General features: G+C 43.7%; 1 protein-coding gene across 10 annotated transcripts in view, besides 5 other annotated features; it reads right to left on the minus strand.

Moving 5' to 3' along the window:
• SETX (senataxin) overlaps positions 2,958–19,540 on the minus strand; it is a 95,389-nt gene continuing 78,806 nt past the window's right edge. For 5 of the 10 annotated variants that reach the window (XM_005272172.4, XM_011518404.4, NM_001351528.2 and 2 more), the window contains 6 exons: positions 18,662–18,754; positions 16,858–17,022; positions 13,312–13,410; positions 11,217–11,304; positions 11,005–11,091; positions 2,958–6,587 (listed from right to left, as the gene is read on the minus strand). In XM_005272172.4, coding sequence (XP_005272229.1) covers positions 5,841–6,587; positions 11,005–11,091; positions 11,217–11,304; positions 13,312–13,410; positions 16,858–17,022; positions 18,662–18,754 — 1,279 coding nt within the window. In that variant the 3' untranslated portion in view covers positions 2,958–5,840. The other 5 variants (NM_015046.7, XM_047423023.1, NM_001351527.2 and 2 more) reach the window with 3 other exon arrangements.
• Positions 10,285–11,271: an enhancer, noted in NCBI's record as "H3K27ac hESC enhancer chr9:135144070-135145056 (GRCh37/hg19 assembly coordinates)". NCBI's record gives its function as "activates a minimal SCP1, AML or CMV promoter by ChIP-STARR-seq in naive H9 embryonic stem cells {active_cell/tissue: H9 hESC(naive)}" and the evidence as "EXISTENCE:reporter gene assay evidence [ECO:0000049][PMID:30033119]".
• Positions 10,285–12,257: a biological region, named in NCBI's record as "P300/CBP strongly-dependent group 1 enhancer GRCh37_chr9:135144739-135145938".
• Positions 10,954–12,153: an enhancer, noted in NCBI's record as "P300/CBP strongly-dependent group 1 enhancer chr9:135144739-135145938 (GRCh37/hg19 assembly coordinates)". NCBI's record gives its function as "activates an origin of replication core promoter dependent on BRD2, BRD4, P300/CBP, MED14 and CDK7 cofactors, with strong dependence on P300/CBP, by STARR-seq in HCT116 cells {active_cell/tissue: HCT116}" and the evidence as "EXISTENCE:reporter gene assay evidence [ECO:0000049][PMID:35650434]".
• Positions 11,272–12,257: an enhancer, noted in NCBI's record as "H3K27ac hESC enhancer chr9:135145057-135146042 (GRCh37/hg19 assembly coordinates)". NCBI's record gives its function as "activates a minimal SCP1, AML or CMV promoter by ChIP-STARR-seq in naive H9 embryonic stem cells {active_cell/tissue: H9 hESC(naive)}" and the evidence as "EXISTENCE:reporter gene assay evidence [ECO:0000049][PMID:30033119]".
• Positions 11,358–11,532: a silencer, noted in NCBI's record as "fragment chr9:135145143-135145317 (GRCh37/hg19 assembly coordinates)". NCBI's record gives its function as "represses an EF-1alpha promoter that drives an FKBP-Casp9 reporter gene in an ReSE screen in phorbol 12-myristate 13-acetate-treated (for megakaryocytic differentiation) K562 erythroleukemia cells {active_cell/tissue: K562(+PMA)}" and the evidence as "EXISTENCE:reporter gene assay evidence [ECO:0000049][PMID:32094911]".

A 19,540-nucleotide genomic window follows, 5' to 3' on the forward strand; every position in this document is an offset into this window, starting at 1 on the left:
GTTCTCTTGCTGGTGAGGAATAGGAACTGATGTAAATTGGTGAAGGTTTACTGGAGCCTGTAAGAAAATATTTTATGAAATTAAAAAAAAAAAAACACAAGAGGCCTGGTGTGGTGGCTCACGCCTGTAATCCTAGCACTTTGGGAGGCCGAGGTGGGTGGATCACGAGGTCAGGAACTCGAGACCAGGCTAATCAACATGGTGAAACCCTGTCTCTACTAAAAATACAAAAATTAGCCGGGCGTGGTGGCCCGTGCCTGTAATCCCAGTTACTCGGGAGGCTGAGGCAGGAGAATCGCTTGAACCTGGGAGGTGGAGGTTGCAGTGAGCCGAGATCGCGCCACTGCATTCCAGCTTGGGCGACAGAGCGAGACTCGGTCTCAACATAAAAAAATAAATAACAAGAAACATCACCTGTCTGCGGAAGGCGTACTGTGCTCTGGCCCTGGGAGCCGGCTAAGGGATGTGGGGCCAGGGTCAGAGTGTGGCAGATGGGCCTCTTCAGACAGGGACCAGCTTCCCCAGGGAGGCCTCCTAGCTGAGCCTGGTAAAAGGATGAAGAACATTCTAGGGGGCCAGGCTGGAGAGCCCAGGAATTGCAGACAGAAGTGAGCCAGGCAGGGGCACTCCACATGTGTGTGGGTGCGAGTGTATAATAAATAATGGCTGCAGGGTGAGCCCCAGTTCTGCTAAGGCAGGAGGCAGGGGAATGACTCTTACGGCTTCAGGGGTCTGAAGAGGGGCAGGGGGATGGGAGGCTGGTGATCCTAGTTCAGCAGTGGCAAAGCCGGTGTCTGAGGGAGCCTGGTGGGGGGGTGACCCTGGGTTTCTGCCTCCAGCCCTTTGAGAAGCATGGGCTTTGCGTGTCCTGTCTCTTGGGGTCACACGTGGGAGTTACTGAAGTGAAGGCCCAGGCACATCCGCCTAACAGGGGCGGGGCAGCTGCAGTCCCGCCCACGGCCACCGGGGGCGGTGTGTATGGTTCTCCGCACAAGCCGAGGAGCTGAAGAGCACGGGGAGGATGAAATCTTGCCCGCTCTGCTCTGGCCGTCTGGGTGCAGCTGCGTCCTCCTGGAGGCAGGAAGGGGCACCAGGCGGGCTAGCGTGCCACAGACCCACAGGTGAATGGGCCCACAGCCCAAGTCCTCACCAATGCTCTCCTAAGCAAAGGGAAAGTATCCAGGGAACCTCGGGGTGTTGTTAGGGTTAATGTTTACGAAAGGCTTCGAAGAGGGGCCGGGCGCGGTGGCTCACACCTGTAATCCCAGCACTTTGGGAGGCCGAGGCAGGCGGATCACCTGAGGTCAGCAGTTCGAGACCAGCCTGGCCAACATGGTGAAACCCCGTCTCTACTAAAAATACAAAAATTAGCCGGGCATGGTGGTGGGAATCCGTAATCTCAGCTACTAGGGAGCCTGAGGCAGGAGAATCACCTGAACCCGGGAGGCGGAGGTTGCAGTGAGCCGAGATTGCACCACTGCACTCCAGCCTGGGTGACAGAGCAAAACTCCGTCTCAAAAAAACAAACACCAAACAAACAAAACACCACAAGAATACCAAGGGCTGCATCCCCAAACCAGTAAATCAGTAATGCTAGGATGGATCCCAGGCAATCAGAATTTTTTTTTTTTTTTTTTTTTTTTTTTTTGGTTGTTGTTGTTTGGGACAGTCTTGCTCTGTCACCCAGGATGGAGTGCAGTGGCACAATCTCTACTCACTGCAACCTCCGCCTCCTGGGTTCAAGCGACTCTCCTGCCTCAGACTCCCAAGTAGCTGGGATTACAGGCGCCCACCACCACACCCGGTTATTTTGTGTTTTTAGTAGAGACGGGGTTTCACCATGTTGGCCAGGCTGGTCTCGAACTCCTGACCTCGGGTGATCCGCCAGCCTCGGCCTCCCAAAGTGCTGGGATTACAGGGATGATCTGCCGCACCCGACCTCAGAATTTTTTTTAAAAGCCCCCAAGTGAGCCCAATGTGCTCCCTAAGGTTAAAAACTCAAGGCTGAAAACTACCAATCTGACAATTCTGTTGCAATGCTGCTTGAAAACAAAGATAACTGTGTCTACTGAGCTGACAGGACAGCAACAGAGTTCCTCCTCCTGCAGTTTCAAACACCCAAACTACGAATATGCCATTTCTGCCATTTGACTTGGCAAATGCCTTCTGTGTAGTAGGACAGGGTGACGATAACTCACGTCTTTGGAGTCATGGAGGGATCCCTTGTGTACAGAAACTGCCTTTGTGGTGCTGTACAACATTATCAATTCTATTTGAGCTGAGGCTAAATTTTAGTTTCGTCCCTCAATTATTTATTCCTCAATGAATGGTGAAACCCAGGAGGTGGGGGCGATTGTGGGGGCGGATGGGTCAGGAAAGAGATGTCTGGTGACTTCAAAAACCATCACTAAGGCTGCTGCATAACCAATTCCACAAATGACCACCATGCAGCACTCATCTCTCGCCAGGCCATTGGGCAAATTTATTACTCCCCCTAAGTCCCAAACACACCATTTTACCCTCCCTGGTAATTTGTGTATGCATACTGAACAAGCCAAGCAGGCCAAGTGGGCTGTGTGCACACACTTCTGGGTACAGAAGGAGACACAGAGGCGGAGGTCAAGTGCCTTTTAACAGGCACAAGTGTGGGGAAGCTGACTACATTTCCTGAAGTTTATTGTTTTATAAAGTGTGTTCCACTTCCATAACCATCAGCAATTACCCCTGGCAAGGGCAATTCTACCCTGTCCCTCCACCAGTGCTTCTGGCAGCTCCTTTCACGGGTCACTGTTCATCTGTTCCTCCTATCTCACCTCCACCCCAATTCCAGCCTAATGATCAGCACATATTTCTGTTGGACCAAACTTCAGTCTGTAACTAAACAGCACAGCTGGCCTCAATGCACCTCATTACTGTACAGAGAAGATTCCAAAAGGAGCTAGGAAGGAGGGCCGGGCTGGATAATGAAACTTTTTATATCTGAATTGCACAAATCCCCACCAAGTAATTTCAGCATAAAGCAAACCAAATGGCAGACGAAATGATGTTAGTACCTTGTAGTTTACTTCATAATACATAACCTCTAATCCATGTCCATCTTCTTGTTTCTGCTTTTAATTCTGCCATTTCCTCTTAAAATTTAGGGTTTAACAAAGACAACAGGGCTGTTTGCCAAATCGCAGCTATTAATTCACAGCATAGAAAAGTCAAAGCTATAGCAAAAAATTGCTAATCTGCACAACTTTAAAAAATAGTTCAGTACATTTTTGTTATAAAATTCATTTACAGGAGGTTATTCACATGTACTTGTCAAATTTACTCCTGATAATTCACAAAAACATACAACTCAACAAACTGTGCACAATAAATCCAAGGCAAATTATATACAAAGAAACAAAACAAGCTTTTAAGTAGCACATATTCATTTGAAATAACTAATATTGAAAGAAGACAGGGAACTTTCTTTTAATGCCATGGCAAAGACGAAGCGAAGAGCCACACTTCACACCTTGTAAAAAGAATAGCCCTGTTCAACAACGCTGCGCTGACAGCCACATCAGGAGGGGCCACGGTGAACATAGGAAATGGCTTTGGCAAATACTTGTACCAACTGGAACGAGTGAAGTTTCAAAAGTAATGTGAGGTACAACTGCATTCCGCTGTGAAAGGCCGTCACAGGACACAGGCTCGTCTGTTAGAAAGGATGATCTAGTTCTACCATTAATTCTTGCAGAATCAGATCTGCTGAGTGGTGAACCAACAGGTGAACACAACGTAAGAACAGGCATCAAACTTCACTGGAAATAATATTGTTCAGTGTGTGGCGGCAAAATATGCATTTTAGAGAAAACTTATTTCTCAAATCATGTGTTAATAGTATTAACATGAGCAGCGTGAGAGACATCCTGACCCCAACGTTTTTGCCATGCCTCCCTTTAGAAGCTTAGGAGTTTGTACATTCCCTAAGTGGTCAGCACTACAAGTGTCTGCTAAAATGGGCACTTCATCAAGATAACAGGAAAGCAAACTTAAAGTAACGAGATTTCTTCCCAAAGGCACATGGAAGAAGCTGATAGAGCCCTTGACCCAGACAGAATGGGACCCATCCCTACCCGTCCTGAACTGTCGCACACTGCATGGCCAAAGACAAACTCTCCACCCCCACAGAGGAAGCAGTGGCTGACTCTGGGGACAAAGCACTCCAGGAAGTCACCTGCTCCCTGGGTTTCAGGAGTATTCAGTTGACCGTCTGGACACCAGTGAGGGAGACACAGGTAATGAAATCAAATGCTCAAACTTTTGGCAACCGAAAGTTGTTTTTTAAAGCTCTTTATAATCTGCTCAAGTAGAATTTCTAACACAAAACCCTTTTTTGCTTAAAAAGCAGATGACAAAGGAAATGTCAAATAATGCACATGAATCTTCAGCTATTTTCCTACCCCCAAATGAGATATGGGGCTGCACAGCATTCACTACAGATCCCTAGTTTTTACAACTGTCAACTGTACATTCTCATGTTTAGGATACTCCAGTTCACTGCGTGGATATTTGGAAAACTGGACAAAATCAGGCAGCCCACCCCTCCCTTGTCCCGAGCTTCCTCGATCTCCATTCACCATGACCAATTTTTTCCCCCACAAAAGCACTATCACCTCTAATAGTAGCTGGAAACACCTATCAGATATTCTAAACAGCATGTATTTTTACCAGGTAGATGATTTCTGAAGATCACAGGAAGTCTACCACTCTCTTCCCAGTTCTGAACTCCTCTGGTTACGCTTCATTTTAAATCGGGTGCTTCTTTCCCGCCCAAAATATTCTATTTGGCCTGCCCCAGTGGTTCCCAAGCTGCCTGGTGATCAGAATCCCTTGGGAAATGTTGAACACACAGCTTCCCAGGCTTTCTGGAAAACTAGTTAGATCTGTCTGACAATCTGTAAGCTGAGGCGATTCTTCCACAGCTGACCCAGCGCTAATCTAGCATTTGGCAACCAAATGTCTGTACCTCACCAGTCACACAAGGCTCACAATATGCTGGGAGCATTTGAATGATAGCTCAAGAATTATTCTTTCACTCCATATTCTTCTCTCTCAAGAAGATTAGGAATTTTAGCTAGGGAACTATGTGCATACTGAAACAGGTAAATGAACTCATCACAGAAATATAATACCCTGGGCCAATGCACTCTATCTAAAAATGCACCATGTCAGCAAGACTTTACCTAACATAACCGTGCTGCCCAAAGTGTCCCCTAGGAGACTCCAGGTTTTTGGGGGGGTTTTTGCTTTTTTTAATAGAGCCAGAGACACCTGACCCACCAGCACTAACTCAGCTTATTCCAAGCTAGGCTGTTAAATAATTATCTGTCTTGCTCTAACAATGGTTGAAAGGACCCGCCCTCCTCCCATCTTTTTTTTTTTGGTAATATAAAGTTTGTTCTGTTGAAAACTGATTAACATTTTAAACAGGGGGAAAGAAAAGCGGTCTACTAGATTAAATTTTAAAAGGATTTTGTTATTTGCTATACAAATATACATTTCAACTTTTACAACATTCACTCCAGTCTGACCTCCTTGTCTATAGAAGACTAAGAGATCAACATTTCCAGTCTCTGACTTCAAGGACATTATTACGGATACACAATGCCCTCTGAAAGCTTTTGCAAATGACAGAAAATACTGAAGATGACCAGAGGCTCAGGTGTTAAGGATGCATTTTCCATGTTTTCCAACAGCACACAAACTCCTTACAAAAAACAAGCTTATCTAGATGGTCCCACGAGCTGGTCATCTTCAGTTTACAATATGCTGTGGCTGCTGGCCCATGTCACTGGGCTTTCCTATAAAAGCTTTCTTTTCTTGGAACTGCTGTCCTCCTGCTCCAGTGTCCTCTTGTCCCACCTAGAGTTCCTCCTGGTGTGATGGGTCTCGGAACCACACTTCTCCTGCTCCCCTTCACTGAAAGCCCTGGCCTCTCTCCTGTGACAGAGCTCCTCTTCCGGGTCATCACATTTGCTCTGACACGTGGAAGCCTCGGGACTGGCAGCTGGAGGTTCGCCCCGCACGGGAGGTTTGTGGCTGCTCAGAGCAGCCACTACAGCAGCGGGCTGCTGTATATGGCTCAGGTCCTGGTGAACGACAGGGAAGCCCGGCTCGCCCGTAGGAGGTGTTGCTCCAGGATGCTGGGGGCTCGAGGGTTGTGGATCCCAAAGGAATATTCCTCCTTTGACCTCAATGCCCATCCTCTTCAGCAGTCGTGGGTCCTGAAGTTGGTCATGAACAGGAGGTCTTTCAGGGTCCTTTGAAGTAACAGTAAGAGTAATTTCCTTGGAGTCAGAGGGTGTGTGGTATAGAGAAGCAGCAACAGATGTCTTGGCAAATCCACTGTCTAGCTTGCTGCTGGGCAAACCACCCTGGGGTCTGGACCCCTCTGGGGCTATGGTAGGAGGGTGAGTGAGACTTCTCTGCAGCACAGGCTTGAGTTTCAGAATCTTCACTGCATCATGTCTATAGTTTTTGTCACAGGTCTTAATAATGGCACCACGCTTCTGAGCATCCTGAATCAGCTGATTCCAATGCTGGTTTTCCTTGAAACAATGAGAAGGGAGAAATAATTACACCCCAAAGAGACACTGCTTGGGAAGCATAGAGTTCCAGCTTTCATTTCTGAACAAATAATACATATTATTGTATGAACATATTCTCAAGATTCATTACTCGTCAGACAAGGATGAAAGGAAAAAATAAATTCAAATAAAAAATGATAAAGTCCCATTCCTAAAAATAAGACCTGGTCACAACCTATAATGGAGAACTTCAACTTTTGTTTTTTTTTTTTTTTTTTTTGAGACAGAGACTCACTCTGTTGCCAGGCTGGAGTGCAGTGGCGCGATCTTGGCTCACTGCAACCTCCACCTCCCGGGTTCACGCCATTCTCCTGCCTCAACCTCCCGAGTAGCTGGGACTACAGGCACCCGCCACCACGCCCGGCTAATTTTTTGTATTTTTAGTAGAGACGGGGTTTCATCATGTTAGCCAAGATGGTCTCGATCTCCTGACCTCATGATCCGCCCGCCTCAGCTCCCAAAGTGCTGGGATTACAGGCAGGAGCCACCGTGCCTGGCCGAACTTCAGCCATTTTTATCAGTGCATTCAACTGCAACGCAGGTCTGCACTAGTCACTAGGAGCATCATGTTGCTATTTATATTTCAATAAATTAAAATAAAAAATTCTGTTCCTAAATTGCATCAGCCACATTTCAAGTACACAGCGGTCACACACGACTAATGGCTATTGTACTGAGCAGTGCAGACACAAAACATTTCCGTTATCACAGAAAGGTCCTTTGGACATTGGTGATCTAGAGTACTGCCTACACCTCTTGGCAGGGCTAACGTTCTGAAACAGGAAGGTCTGGTTTCAGAAAGCAAACTTCTGAGTGCATGTGACTATTCTAGAAAAAGGCCCAAGGCTTTCACTGGATTTCTAAAGGCCTCCCAAACCCCGAATGGCTAAAACATCTTCATCCACCGAGATCTCAAGATATCATCTCACTTTCTGCCTGTTTCCTACAGGAGCTTAAGATATTAAATCCCATCGGGAAAGTTGCCAAACACATGCACCTCTCCTCTCTTCCCGAGTTTCTTCAGAGGAGGCTGCTGCTTTACAACCACTAGAATTCGGGTCTCTTTAGAAAGAAGAAAGAAAAGAAGAAAAAGGATAGCTACCCTCTCATGGGGGCTCCTGTACTGTTCATAAAGGTATGTTAGGGAAGCAGTGAGGCTGCACAGTATTTACTTGCTGTGTGACCTTGGTCAAGTCACTTGACCTCTCTGAGCCTGTTTCCTCATCTGTAAAATAGGAGTAATATTTTATTTAATGGATTCTAAAGTGCACGTTGCTTTCACATTTTAGCATTTCTGACCTTGGGGAGCCTCTTGGCCATGTACCTATCCTTGGAAATTACATGATGAGGCAATTATAACCCTTAGACTTTTAGTCAATAAACCATTTAAAAATAATGCCTGAAAACCTTCTACAGACATTTTCTGATAAGACAAGATAACACCAGCATTAAAACTTATGCACTGGGCCAGGTGCAGTGGCTCATGCCTGTAATCCTAACACTTTGGGAGGCTGAGGCGGGCGGATCACCTGAGGTCAGAGGTTCAAGACGAGCCTGGGCAACATGGTGAAACCCCGTCTCTACTAAAAATACAAAAATTAGCCAAGTGTAGTGGTGCACAGCTATAATCCCAGGTACTTGAGATGCTAAGGCATGAGAATCGCCTGAACCCAGGAGGCGGACGTTGCAGTGAGCTGAGATTGTGCCACTGCACTCCAGCCTGGGCAACAAGGTGAGGCTCTGTCTCAAAAAAAAACCCCCAAAAAAACCTTATACACTGGAGATAAAGGGTTCTAAGAAATCCTGGAGACAATGGTGTAACTCTTAGCAAATGCTAAATTGCCAACCTTATTATTGCACTTGGGATGAATGACAACACTGATGACTATGGATTGGGAAGTGATTCATTCGTGCTAAATTCTGAAAGTGAAATATTTTTAGGAATATCTTAACCTATTATTTTACTTGTATTTTCTATGTATGGATAAGAATATGGTAAAAATCTGTCTAAAGTCTTAAGAGTCCTTTCAATAAATATGAAAGTTCTAAGTGAAAATAAGGCACTGTGTCATAGTCTAATAATGGTACATAAAATAGTGGTGTATATTATAATGAATGGTTTCTTGAATTTGATGAACTATGGTAATAAGCTGACTTCACAGTAGTTTTTCAAGGTTTGGAGAAAGTCATGTGACCAGAATAAAATGCTTGGCCCGGTGGCTGGCATACTGAAGACAGGTCTGTGGAGGGAGCGCCAGGCTCTGGGGGCTCAGTTCTCTTTCTCACTCAGATCTCTAGAGATCCTTAGCCTGTGGCTCAAACACATATGTGAAGCAGATGGCCTTGCAATTTTTGCTAAGTTCACTACACCTAAACTTGGTGTTTAATCCATTCCTAAGATCACAGAAACAGTTCTGAGCAGGCACTATTAGCCTTGGTTTCTCAGAGGAAATCAAACGCTTTAATGATTGATCCCATTCCCATAAGGGGAACTAGGCTAAAAACTTAGAAACAAAAGCAAATGAATCCCCAAAACAACAAAGAAAAAGCCCAAGGACAAAAAAAGTTAGGAAGCCCAGCTGACATGTCGGGAAGTTTCAGATTCTCGTCTGTCTCTTTTTGTAGCACTGCCTTCCTAGAGTGAAGACAATGTCGGTGCCATTAGCTGGAGGTCAGTGGTCTGCACAGTTGTGCAAGTGTGACCCAGGGGCTCCCAAACACTGTCTAAACGGAATGTGAAAAAGGGTTACAGAATAACCTTGCAAACCCTACTTCCCATGTCCTCCTTGGGCTGCCCTGCCTCCTGCACCCCACCCTTCACAATCATGATGCGCCTCATCCATCCAGAGTGCACTGCCAAGACACATCAACACCATGAGGTGCCAACTTAAGGGAGGATGAAAAACAGTAGTGCCCACAAAGCCTCCTTTAATCAAGGCATCACTAAAAGATGTATCTCTAGCAACATTTCATTTACTTGTCAGGTTTAAACATGATCAAAATCTGTGATATTAAATATATTTGTCTTGTTTTGCTCAACTGTACAAATAAGTGTTAACAGGCTATTCAATTGATAAGAGATCACGTTTTAACACTCAGATGCTTATGGTCACAGGAAAAGCAATTTTTAAAAATCCAAACCTACATTTTGAGATAACTATAGATTTACAGGAAGTTGCAAGGAAAGTACTGAGAGGTTGCATGCACCCTTCACATGGGTTCCCCAAATAGTGATAAAAATCAACTTTTTAGGCCGAGGTGGGATGACTTTAGCCCAGGAGTTTGAGACCAGCCTGGACAACATGGTAAGACCCTTTCTCTACTAAAAGTACAAAAATTAGGTACATGCGCCTATAGTCTCAGCTACTCAGGAGGCTGAGGTGGGAGAACGGCTTAAATCCAGGAGGCGGAGGCTGCAGTGAGCTGTGATTGTGCCACTGCACTCCCGCCAGGGGAAAACAACTTTTTAAACTTTCAAGTTATACAGAAATTTTTGTGAGAGAGGTGTAGATCAGTGAGATTAACTTAAAGGCTTTTAATTCTAAAAAGAGATTACCCCAGTGAATCTTAGCCTAAACAAGCAGGAATGGAAGTACAATTTCAAAGAGAGGAAAAAATAAAATAATATTGCTTTCTATTCCACTGGATATATTTAAGAGTGATGTAATAATTTTAATTGCTGTATTTTAAAATGTCAATATTGATAATACATCAGAAGCATAATCTTCAGTAATATTTAAACTTACAAAGATTTTTTCTATCAACTTAAAAATAGGAGGTACATAAAAATAAACGGTACACAGCTTTTAAAACTTCCTTCAGAGCAGGCACACAGACGACAAAGGCTGGAGGTGATAGAGGAGTGAAACAAGAAAGAAGGTGTATCTGAGCGCCACCTGGTGGCAGGAACCAAAACCAGGGGAAACAGCCACCAAGTTGGCTCTTCTTAGATGAAATCAATGACTTCATAAAAAAGAGAAATGAGGAAAACTACAAAGTTATTACCCCTAATAAGACAAACAGCAAATACGTGCTACATCTAGCTGTGATATCAGTGAATTAAGCTGTACCATTTGTCTACTGAAGTTGGAAACTCGTACACCTCTTCCAGAGGGGCGCCTGTCCTGGCAGAAGAATGCCGGAGGCGCTAAGTGCTGGAGAAACAGAGTGAGCAGCACAGCTCCCAGTGCCAGCAGAAAAGCAGAGCAGAGCACGCGCCTGCAAACTCTCTCTGGCATTAAGCTGGGCCAATAACAGCCACATTTACTGAGTGTTTACTAAGTGCCAAGCAATTGCTTTGGCACTTTACATCTGTGGGTTTAATATACCTTCTTAACAATAATCCTATGATGTGGATAATTTGTTTTAAAATGGTCACCTTGAGAGCCCAGTGTAGATACTTGGGTTCTGGGCTGAAAAAAGGCGAATGGTTCACGTGTACACAAAAGCTCCTAGGAAGAAGTTGCTGGAAAACATAACAACCATTATTTTGTAATCCAGAAATCATTTACACTTTGATGGAAAATAAGAACAAAAACTCAATCCAACAACAGTAACAATGGGTAAACTTCTGAGCTCTCTGGTACCTACCATCAGGGTCCTCAAATGTCCGAGGATGAAGAGGCTGTACTTGGCTCGTGTGATGGTGACATTCAATCTCTGCAAACTTGCCAGGAATCTAGGCAATAAAAAAAGAGTTCCTTCTTTGTCTAGAATGACTTAACATGCCCATGTGAGACAAAGGTGGACTCTAGAATGACTCAACGTGCCCGTGTCTGACAGAGGTGGAATCTTGAATGACTCAGTGAGCCCGAGACACAGGTGGACTCTAGAATGACTCAGCGTGCCCGTGTGAGACACAGGTGGATTCTAGAATGACTCAGCATCCTCATGTGAGACACAGGTGGACTCTAGAATGACTCAGCGTGCCCGTGTGAGACACAGGTGGACTCTAGAATGACTCAGCATCCTCATGTGAGACACAGGTGGACTCTAGAATGACTCAGCGTGCCCGTGTGAGACACAGGTGGACTCTAGAATGACTCAGCATCCTCATGTGAGACACAGGTGGACTCTAGAATGACTCAGCGTGCCCGTGTGAGACACAGGTGGACTCTAGAATGACTCAGCATCCTCATGTGAGACACAGGTGGACTCTAGAATGACTCAGCGTGCCCATGTGAGACACAGGTGGACTCTACAATGACTCAGTATGCCCATGTGAGACACAGGTGGACTCTAGAATGACTCAGCGTGCCCATGTGAGACACAGGTAGACTCTAGAATGACTCAGCGTGCCCGTGTGAGACACAGGTGGACTCTAGACTCAGCATGCCCATGTGAGACACAGATGGACTCTAGAATGACTCAGCATGCCAGTGAGACACAGGTGAACTCTAGAATGACTCAGCATGCCCATGTGAGACACAGGTGGACTGCAGGCAGCTTTTCCGGGACTCCTTCACTCCTCTAGAAGTCACAGTGCTTTCTTACTCTCCGTCCCAATACAGGGTACCGGGCACAGAAGAATTCCTATTAAAAACAGGAAACAAACCAAAACCTCGGGGCTTCCTTCAAAGTGATGCATCTATCAATTTCCTATTTTTACCTGGATAAGATAATTGGAAATTTTAACAGTGCAATCTTGAAGCCTTGAAAAATCCTAAAAATGTGGTACCAGCCTAATCACTTTATTCTTACATTTAAATATATCTAGACTGTTAAGATATTGTAGAACTAGTGTAGAAATACATGAACACCAGATAAATATTTCAGTAGATCAGAAAAAGAGCTCAGAAATAGAATTGATGTATGATAAAAGTGAAATTTCAAATTAGCTGGGAAAGAAAGGTCTATTTATAAACTGACCCTGAGATACAACTGGGCTCTGTATATGCAGCCCATCCCAGGGAGGGGCAAAGATTACTTTAATTACTATTTTATTTGAAAACGAACTAATTTATAACCTGTAAATTCTGTCTGCTTCTCATGACAAGAAACAAATAATCATGTAAGAGTCTTGGGCTTGGGATATTTTCTGTCACTCATACAGGTGTCCTTAGCATCTTAAATAAACTGACAGTAGTTAAGGTGAACAAATTTAGCCAAAGCAGGAAAACACAGAAAACAATGACACTTTGACACATACCATGGGGAGTAATATGCCTCTGCAAAGTATAATCTAATTATTTATTTGAATCTTATTAAATAAAAGAACAGATTCACACTATGAAATGGGTTAATATAAAAGACACCAAGGCCGGGCGCAGTGACTCACGCCTGTAATCCCAGCATTTTGGGAGGCCAAAGTGGGTGGAGCACTTGAGCTCAGGAGTTTGAGACCAGCCTGGGCAACCTGGCAAAACACTGTCTCTACAGAAAAATACAAAAATTAGCTGGGCGTGGTAGCACATGCCTGTAGTCCCAGCTACTCGGGAGGCTGATGCAGAAGAATCGCTTGAACCCAGGAGGTGGAGGATGCAGTGGGCCAAGATTGCACCAAGATCTAACAGTGGGTCTATTTCACAACTTAAAAGAGAAACTTTCATAGTATTACACAGGTTTTCACAAAAGAAAATTAAAAAAGCAAATGGTGTTCTCTAACAGTGATAATGAACCTAATCCTGAACTATAAACAAGCAACAATGTATACAAGTATAAAAGAGCAACAATGACAGTAACTCACCCAATTGAACCTTGGATGCTATTTGCTCTGACACACGTAACAATAACACAATCCTTCTGCCGACCCTGGAATGCATCCACAGTGTCTACTTCTGCTGGTCTATTTACAAAAGAGAAACATATTTACTGGAAAAAGGAAGATAATTATTAAGTATACATATTTATAAACTAGTTTTTTGGTTTTTTTTTTTTGAGACGGAGTCTCACTCTGTCGCCCAGGCTGGAGTGCAGTGGCGCGATCTCAGTTCACTGCAAGCTCTGCCTCCCGGGTTCACGCCATTCTCCTGCCTCAGCCTCCTGAGTAGCTGGGACTACAGGTGCCCGCCACCATGCCCAGCTAATTTTTTGTATTTTTAGTAGAGACTGGGTTTCACTGTGGTCTCCATCTCCTGACCTCATGATCCGCCCGCCTCGGCCTCCCAAAGTGCTGGGATTACAGGCGTGAGCCACCGCGTCCGGCTTAGTTTTTTGGTTTTTGACAGTCTAGCCTCACTCTTGTCCAGGCTGGAGTGCACCAGCATATTCATAGCTCACAGTAACTTGAACACCTGAGCTCCGTCTCAGCCTCCTAAGTGGCTAGGACTACAGGCATGGACCACCACCCTAATTTTTCCATGTTTTGTAGAGATGGGGTCTTGCCATGTTGCCCAGGCTGGTCTCAAACCCCTGGCCCCAAGCAATCCTTCCACCTCACCCACCCAAAATGTTAGGATTATAGATGTGAGCCACCATGCCTGGCCTTACAGTCTTTATTTTTAAAGAAACTTAAAAAAAAAAAGAGAGAGAGAGAGAGACAGAGTCTCACTGCGTTGCCCAGGCTGGACTCAAACTTCTGGGGCTCAAGCAATCCTCCTTGCCTCAGCCTCCCAAGGAGATGCATGCACCACCATGCTCGGCTGCTAAGACATTTTAAAAACATTTTCTTGGAGGTTAGCCTGAATTTCCTCCTCTCTCCATTCCCTGGCAACCACTAATACACTTCCTGTCTCTACAGATTTTCTTATACTGTGAGTTTCACATAAATGGAATTACAAAATGTGATTATTTGTGACTGTTCCCTTAGCATAACATTTCCAAAGTTCATCCATGTTGTAGCATGTAACAGAACTTCATCCCTTTCTTCATTAATATTTCATTGTACCACATAGTACAAGTTATTTACTTAGTGTTAAGGTGGCAGCGCTCCCCAAATTGATCTACAGATGTAATCCAACTGCCTTTTTTACAGAAATGGTCACGCTGATACTAAGTCTTTGGCTGGGCATGGTAGCTCATGTCTGTAATCCAAGCACTTTGGGAAGACTGTGTGAACTCAGGAGTTTGAGAACAGCCTGGGCAACTTAGGAAGACCTTGTCTCTACTAAAAATGAAAAAACACACAAAAAATGCAAAAAACAACACAACACTAAGTCTTCCAGTCCATGAAAACAGGATGTCTTCACATTTATTTAGGTGGTTTTTTTTTTGTTTTGAGATGGAATTTCGCTCTCGTCGCCCAGGCTGGAGTGCAATGGAGTGATCTCAGCTCACTGCAACCTCTGCTTCCCGGGTTCAAGTGATTCTCCTGCCTCACCCTCCAGAGTAGTTGGGATTACAGGCGTGTGCCACCATGCCCAACTGATTTTTGTATAATTAGTAGAGACAAGATTTTACCATGTTGGCCAGGCTGGTCTTGAACTCCTGACCTCAGGTGATCCACCCACCTGGGCCTCCCAAAGTGCTGGGATTACAGGCATGAGCCACTGCACCCGGCCTATTTAGGTGTTCTTTAATTCCTTTCAACAACGTTTTGCAGTTTTCAGCGTACAAGTCTTATACTTCTTTGGTTCTATTTATTCCGAAGTGTTTTATTCTTTTTGATGCTATTGTAAATGGAATTGTTTCAACTTCCTTTTCAGATTGTTCATTGCTAGTTGCATCAAAATATAATCAACTTTCACATATTAATCTTGTATCCTGCTAAGCTTATTATCTCTAATAGTGCCTTTGAATGGCTTTGTTAGGGTTTCTAGAAATAAGATCATGCCACCTATGAAGAGAGAGTTTTACTTTTTTCTTTCCAGTAAAGATGCTTTTTATTTATTTTCCTTACTTAACTGCTCTGGCTAAAACCTCTAGTACAATGTTGAAAAAAAGCATTAAGAGTTTCAAACATCTCTCCTGATCTTAGAGGAAAGGCTTTCATTCTTACCATGAAGTATAACGTTAGCTATGAGTTTTTTGTAAATGCCTTTTATTAATAAAAAAAGTTCCTTTGTATTCTTTTTTTTTTTTTAAATCATCAAAGCATTTTGGGTTCCGTGCAACTTTTTTTTGTATCTACTGAGCTGATTATGTGGGTCTCCTCATTCTTCTAATATGGTATATCATATTGATTTTCATATGTTGAAGCAATCTTGCATTCCTGGGATAAATCCCACTTGGTCTTGATGTATAAATCCTTGTAATAACCTGCTGAATTCAGTTTGTCACTATTTTGTTGAGGATTTTTGTATCTAGTCATAAAGGATTTGGATCTGTAGTTTTCTTGTGATACTTTCCCTTGGCTTTGGTATCAGTGTAATACTGGCTTCAAAAAATGAATCTGAGTGTTCTATTTATTGGAAGCATGTGAGAATGACTTGTGTTCATTCTTCTTTTAATATTTGATAGAATTCACCAGCTTAGCTTGGTTCTGGGCTTTTCATTATTGGGAAATGTTTCATTATTTGTTATAAAGGTCTGATTTTTTCTTTTTTTTTTTTTTTTGAGATGGAGTCTCGCTCTGTCACCCAGGCTGGAGTGATGCAGTGGGGCAATCTCAGCTCACTGCAGCCTCCGCCTCCTGGGTTCAAGCGATTTACCTACCTCAGCCTTCCGAGTAGCAGGGACTACGGGAGCGCGCCACCACGCCTGGCTAATTTTTGTATTTTTTTTCAGTAGAGATGGGGTTTCACCATGTTGCCCAGGCTGGTCTCAACCTCCTGACCTCAGGTGATCTGCCCGCCTCAGCCTCCCAAAGTGCTGGGATTACAGGTGTGAGCCACCACACCCAGCCTACAGGTCTGATTTTCTATTGTTTTCTAGATTCGATTTTGGTAGTCTGTGTGCTTCTAAGTTAAGATGATTTTAAGGTTATGGATCTCCAATATTTAATCTTTAATTTTACTGCTGAGGTAAGAAGGAAACAAAAACATGATTTTCATTCTATACATAAAGGCAATACAAGGGTTAAATCATTTATTTAAAGTGAAATGTTACTTTTAGTCTTGCTAGAACAAGAATTCAGATGAACAAGTCATGGAACTAAAAGGTAAAGACCTGGCAAGTTTCTTAGTCAATTCCACTGCCAAGGAGAATGTTGACATTCCAACTGCCAGGAAGTAACCTGTCTACCCAGGAGCCACACAGCACAAGTCTATGAAAGCCAGCAGCATCCCAGCTTCCTCGTGCCGTATCACCAATTTGCACAGACCACTCCTTAAGAGTTTCCCTTTTCTTCTTTCCTTCTATATCCTCTCATTCTAATTCAACAAGAAAATTGGAAATATTTATAAAAATGCCTCACCCTTTTCTATCGAACTCTTTGTCCAAATCCTTCTGAATCATCGTCTTCTGGGCCTTGTAATGAGTTATTATGCCAATGTTTCGAAAACTAACATCCTTTCTTTTGTCTTTAATAAGCTTAATTATTTCCATCACCAGTTTTATTTCTTGAACATTTATATATGAGCTAAACAAGATGGAAAAAGAAAACACAGTGTTATCAAAACTAATAGCAGGCTAATTGCTAACTTAAGTTCCACTGAGTTTGTTTCCCATTATAGTAAAGGGCAGGCAGATAGGCTTCATCTTTTATTCAGCTAGCAGTGACTCCAAGAGGCTGTTACAATGACCATTAATATGGTATATATGAATAAATGTGAAAATACTATGGTAAATATGAATACATGTGAAATGCCCAGTGAAAAATGAAGTTGTAGAGAGAAAAGAGTTTGAAATCAACTGAAGTTTAGGCACCACTTTCTTCATCTGTTGAAACAGGGAGAGCAGTATTAAGAACAGCAGTATTAATAAGAACAAAGATGTGAATAAGAGATAGCTAACATGAATTAAGGATTAACTATCTTCCGAACACTGAGAAAATGCTTTACATGTATGATCTTCCTTGTCCCTCACCACTGGCTGCATACAACACACACCACACAACCGAGCAGCTGCCATCCACACAGACTCAATGTGAAGGATGTGTCCCACTTGACCCCAGTTGAACAACATGGGGCCCTGGAGCAGGTTCATGTCCTCTTTGTAGTCCTCAGCAGCCTCATATCCTGCACTCTCAACCCCTCCTGAAAACACATGCTCCCTCATGACCATACCGGACCCAAAATGCACCAAGACCAGGGGATGCACTGCCCCATCCCTTGATTCCTGAGGCTACCTTACCCGCCTTGCTTTACGAGCCTTAAATACCCATTCTCCTAACTTTGAGACTTACTAAATGGACAACCCAATCAGCTAGCGATCTCTTCCATCCCTGAAATCCTCATGATGCTCTGCGGCTTAACTCGCAATCCTCTGCTCTCCTCCAAGAGGCCTCATTAAAACCTTTAGGCTGCAGTCCCTCCAGCACTACAATCCCATGGCCAACAACTCCTCTGTATGTGTAACCTCTTCAATGAGTGTTCCCTACTTCCACCTCTGTATCTTATCTAACGCCTGATTCTCGCCTGAGGACGCCACCTGCTCTGCAGCCATCCCATGATGTAGAAGTGGGATTTGTGTTTCCTCCTACTTCATGACAGAGTGGCACTTGTATCCGTGCCAACAAATGCTGCCCCTAGACCATTCCTCCCCTACTCTCTCACAAGAATCCCCAGCTCCTCTGACATTGCTGCTTCTAGCAACACCACTCCTCTTTGCTGTCATATACAGACCACCTGAACACATGCCCTTATTCACAACCCAATACCATCCAACCTCTGTCACTACTTCCTTCCTCCCTTTCACATTTTCATTCAACTGAATTTATACTTAGCCTTCACAGTACTTAACCCAACTGGAATAACTGCTTACCCAGGTGATGACCTGCTGAAGGCCTGTCTTCCCATGAGACCACCATCTTGCAATGGGCACGTCTGTTTCCCTCACTGCTGTGAGCTCAACAAGTATCTACTCAAGCACTTGCTTATGACATTAGGTAATATTATCCCCATTATACAGAAAAAAGAAGCATCAACTTAAGTGAACATGACTGTGCCCTGACACTAGGCAGAGAGATGTGTATAGGAAATGTATTTAACAGAAATATGAATGCAAATCATGTAACAATTCTGGGACTATCAGAGGACTGAGGCAAGAGGAAAACATACTCATTATCCCGTCTTTCTGAACCATCTCCAACATCAAACACAAGGTATGGCTGAAATGGCCAATCTGATGAACATCGAATGGCTTCTGTCTGTCTGTAAAAAAAAAAAAGCAGTCAACATTCAGAATAAAGTCAAGATTTAAGAAAATATCTTGGTATTACTACAATTTTTTCTGTGTGGTGATGTGGGCTGGGGCAAGTAAGGGGATAGCAGGAATATTCTTTTCTAGACGTGTATTAGTGAAAGGTACAAAACAAATTCTATTTCTTTCCTGGTGCTGGGAGAGGTGTCTATATCATTAAAATATAACAAGTATGATTGGAAAGACACTCATAATAGAGTAAGCCACAGAATACTATGTTAAGTATGGTCCCACATTTTTCCTTCAAAAATTTAAAAAGTAAAAAAAGATATGCATAGTAAAAGGACTGAAACTTGGCCAGGTGCGGTGACTCTCGCCTGTAATCCCAGCACTTTGGGAGACCAAGGCGGGTGGATTGCTTGAGCTCAGGAGTTCGAAAGCAGCCTGGGCAACATAGCGAAACCCCGTTTCTACAAAAAGAAAAATACAAAAATTAGCCAGGCATGGTGGTGACTGAGTGTAGTCCCAGCTACTCAGGAGGCTGAGGCAGGTGGATTGATTGAGCCTGGGAGGTCGAAGCTGCAGTGAGCCAGGACTGTGTGCCACTGCACTCATCCTGTGTGAGTGACAGAATGAGACCCTGTCTTCAAAAAAAAAAAAAAAAAAAAAAAGGACTGCTGAAAGTGGATATACCAAAATGTTACCAGTGATTATTTCTGGGTAGTATAAATATAGGTGACTTTTTCCCCTTTTCTTTTTTATGTGCTTTGCTGTATTCAACATGATGGCTATTATAA

Source organism: Homo sapiens, chromosome 9 (assembly GCF_000001405.40).
Source record: "Homo sapiens chromosome 9, GRCh38.p14 Primary Assembly".
NCBI classification, from domain to species: Eukaryota; Metazoa; Chordata; class Mammalia; order Primates; family Hominidae; genus Homo; species Homo sapiens.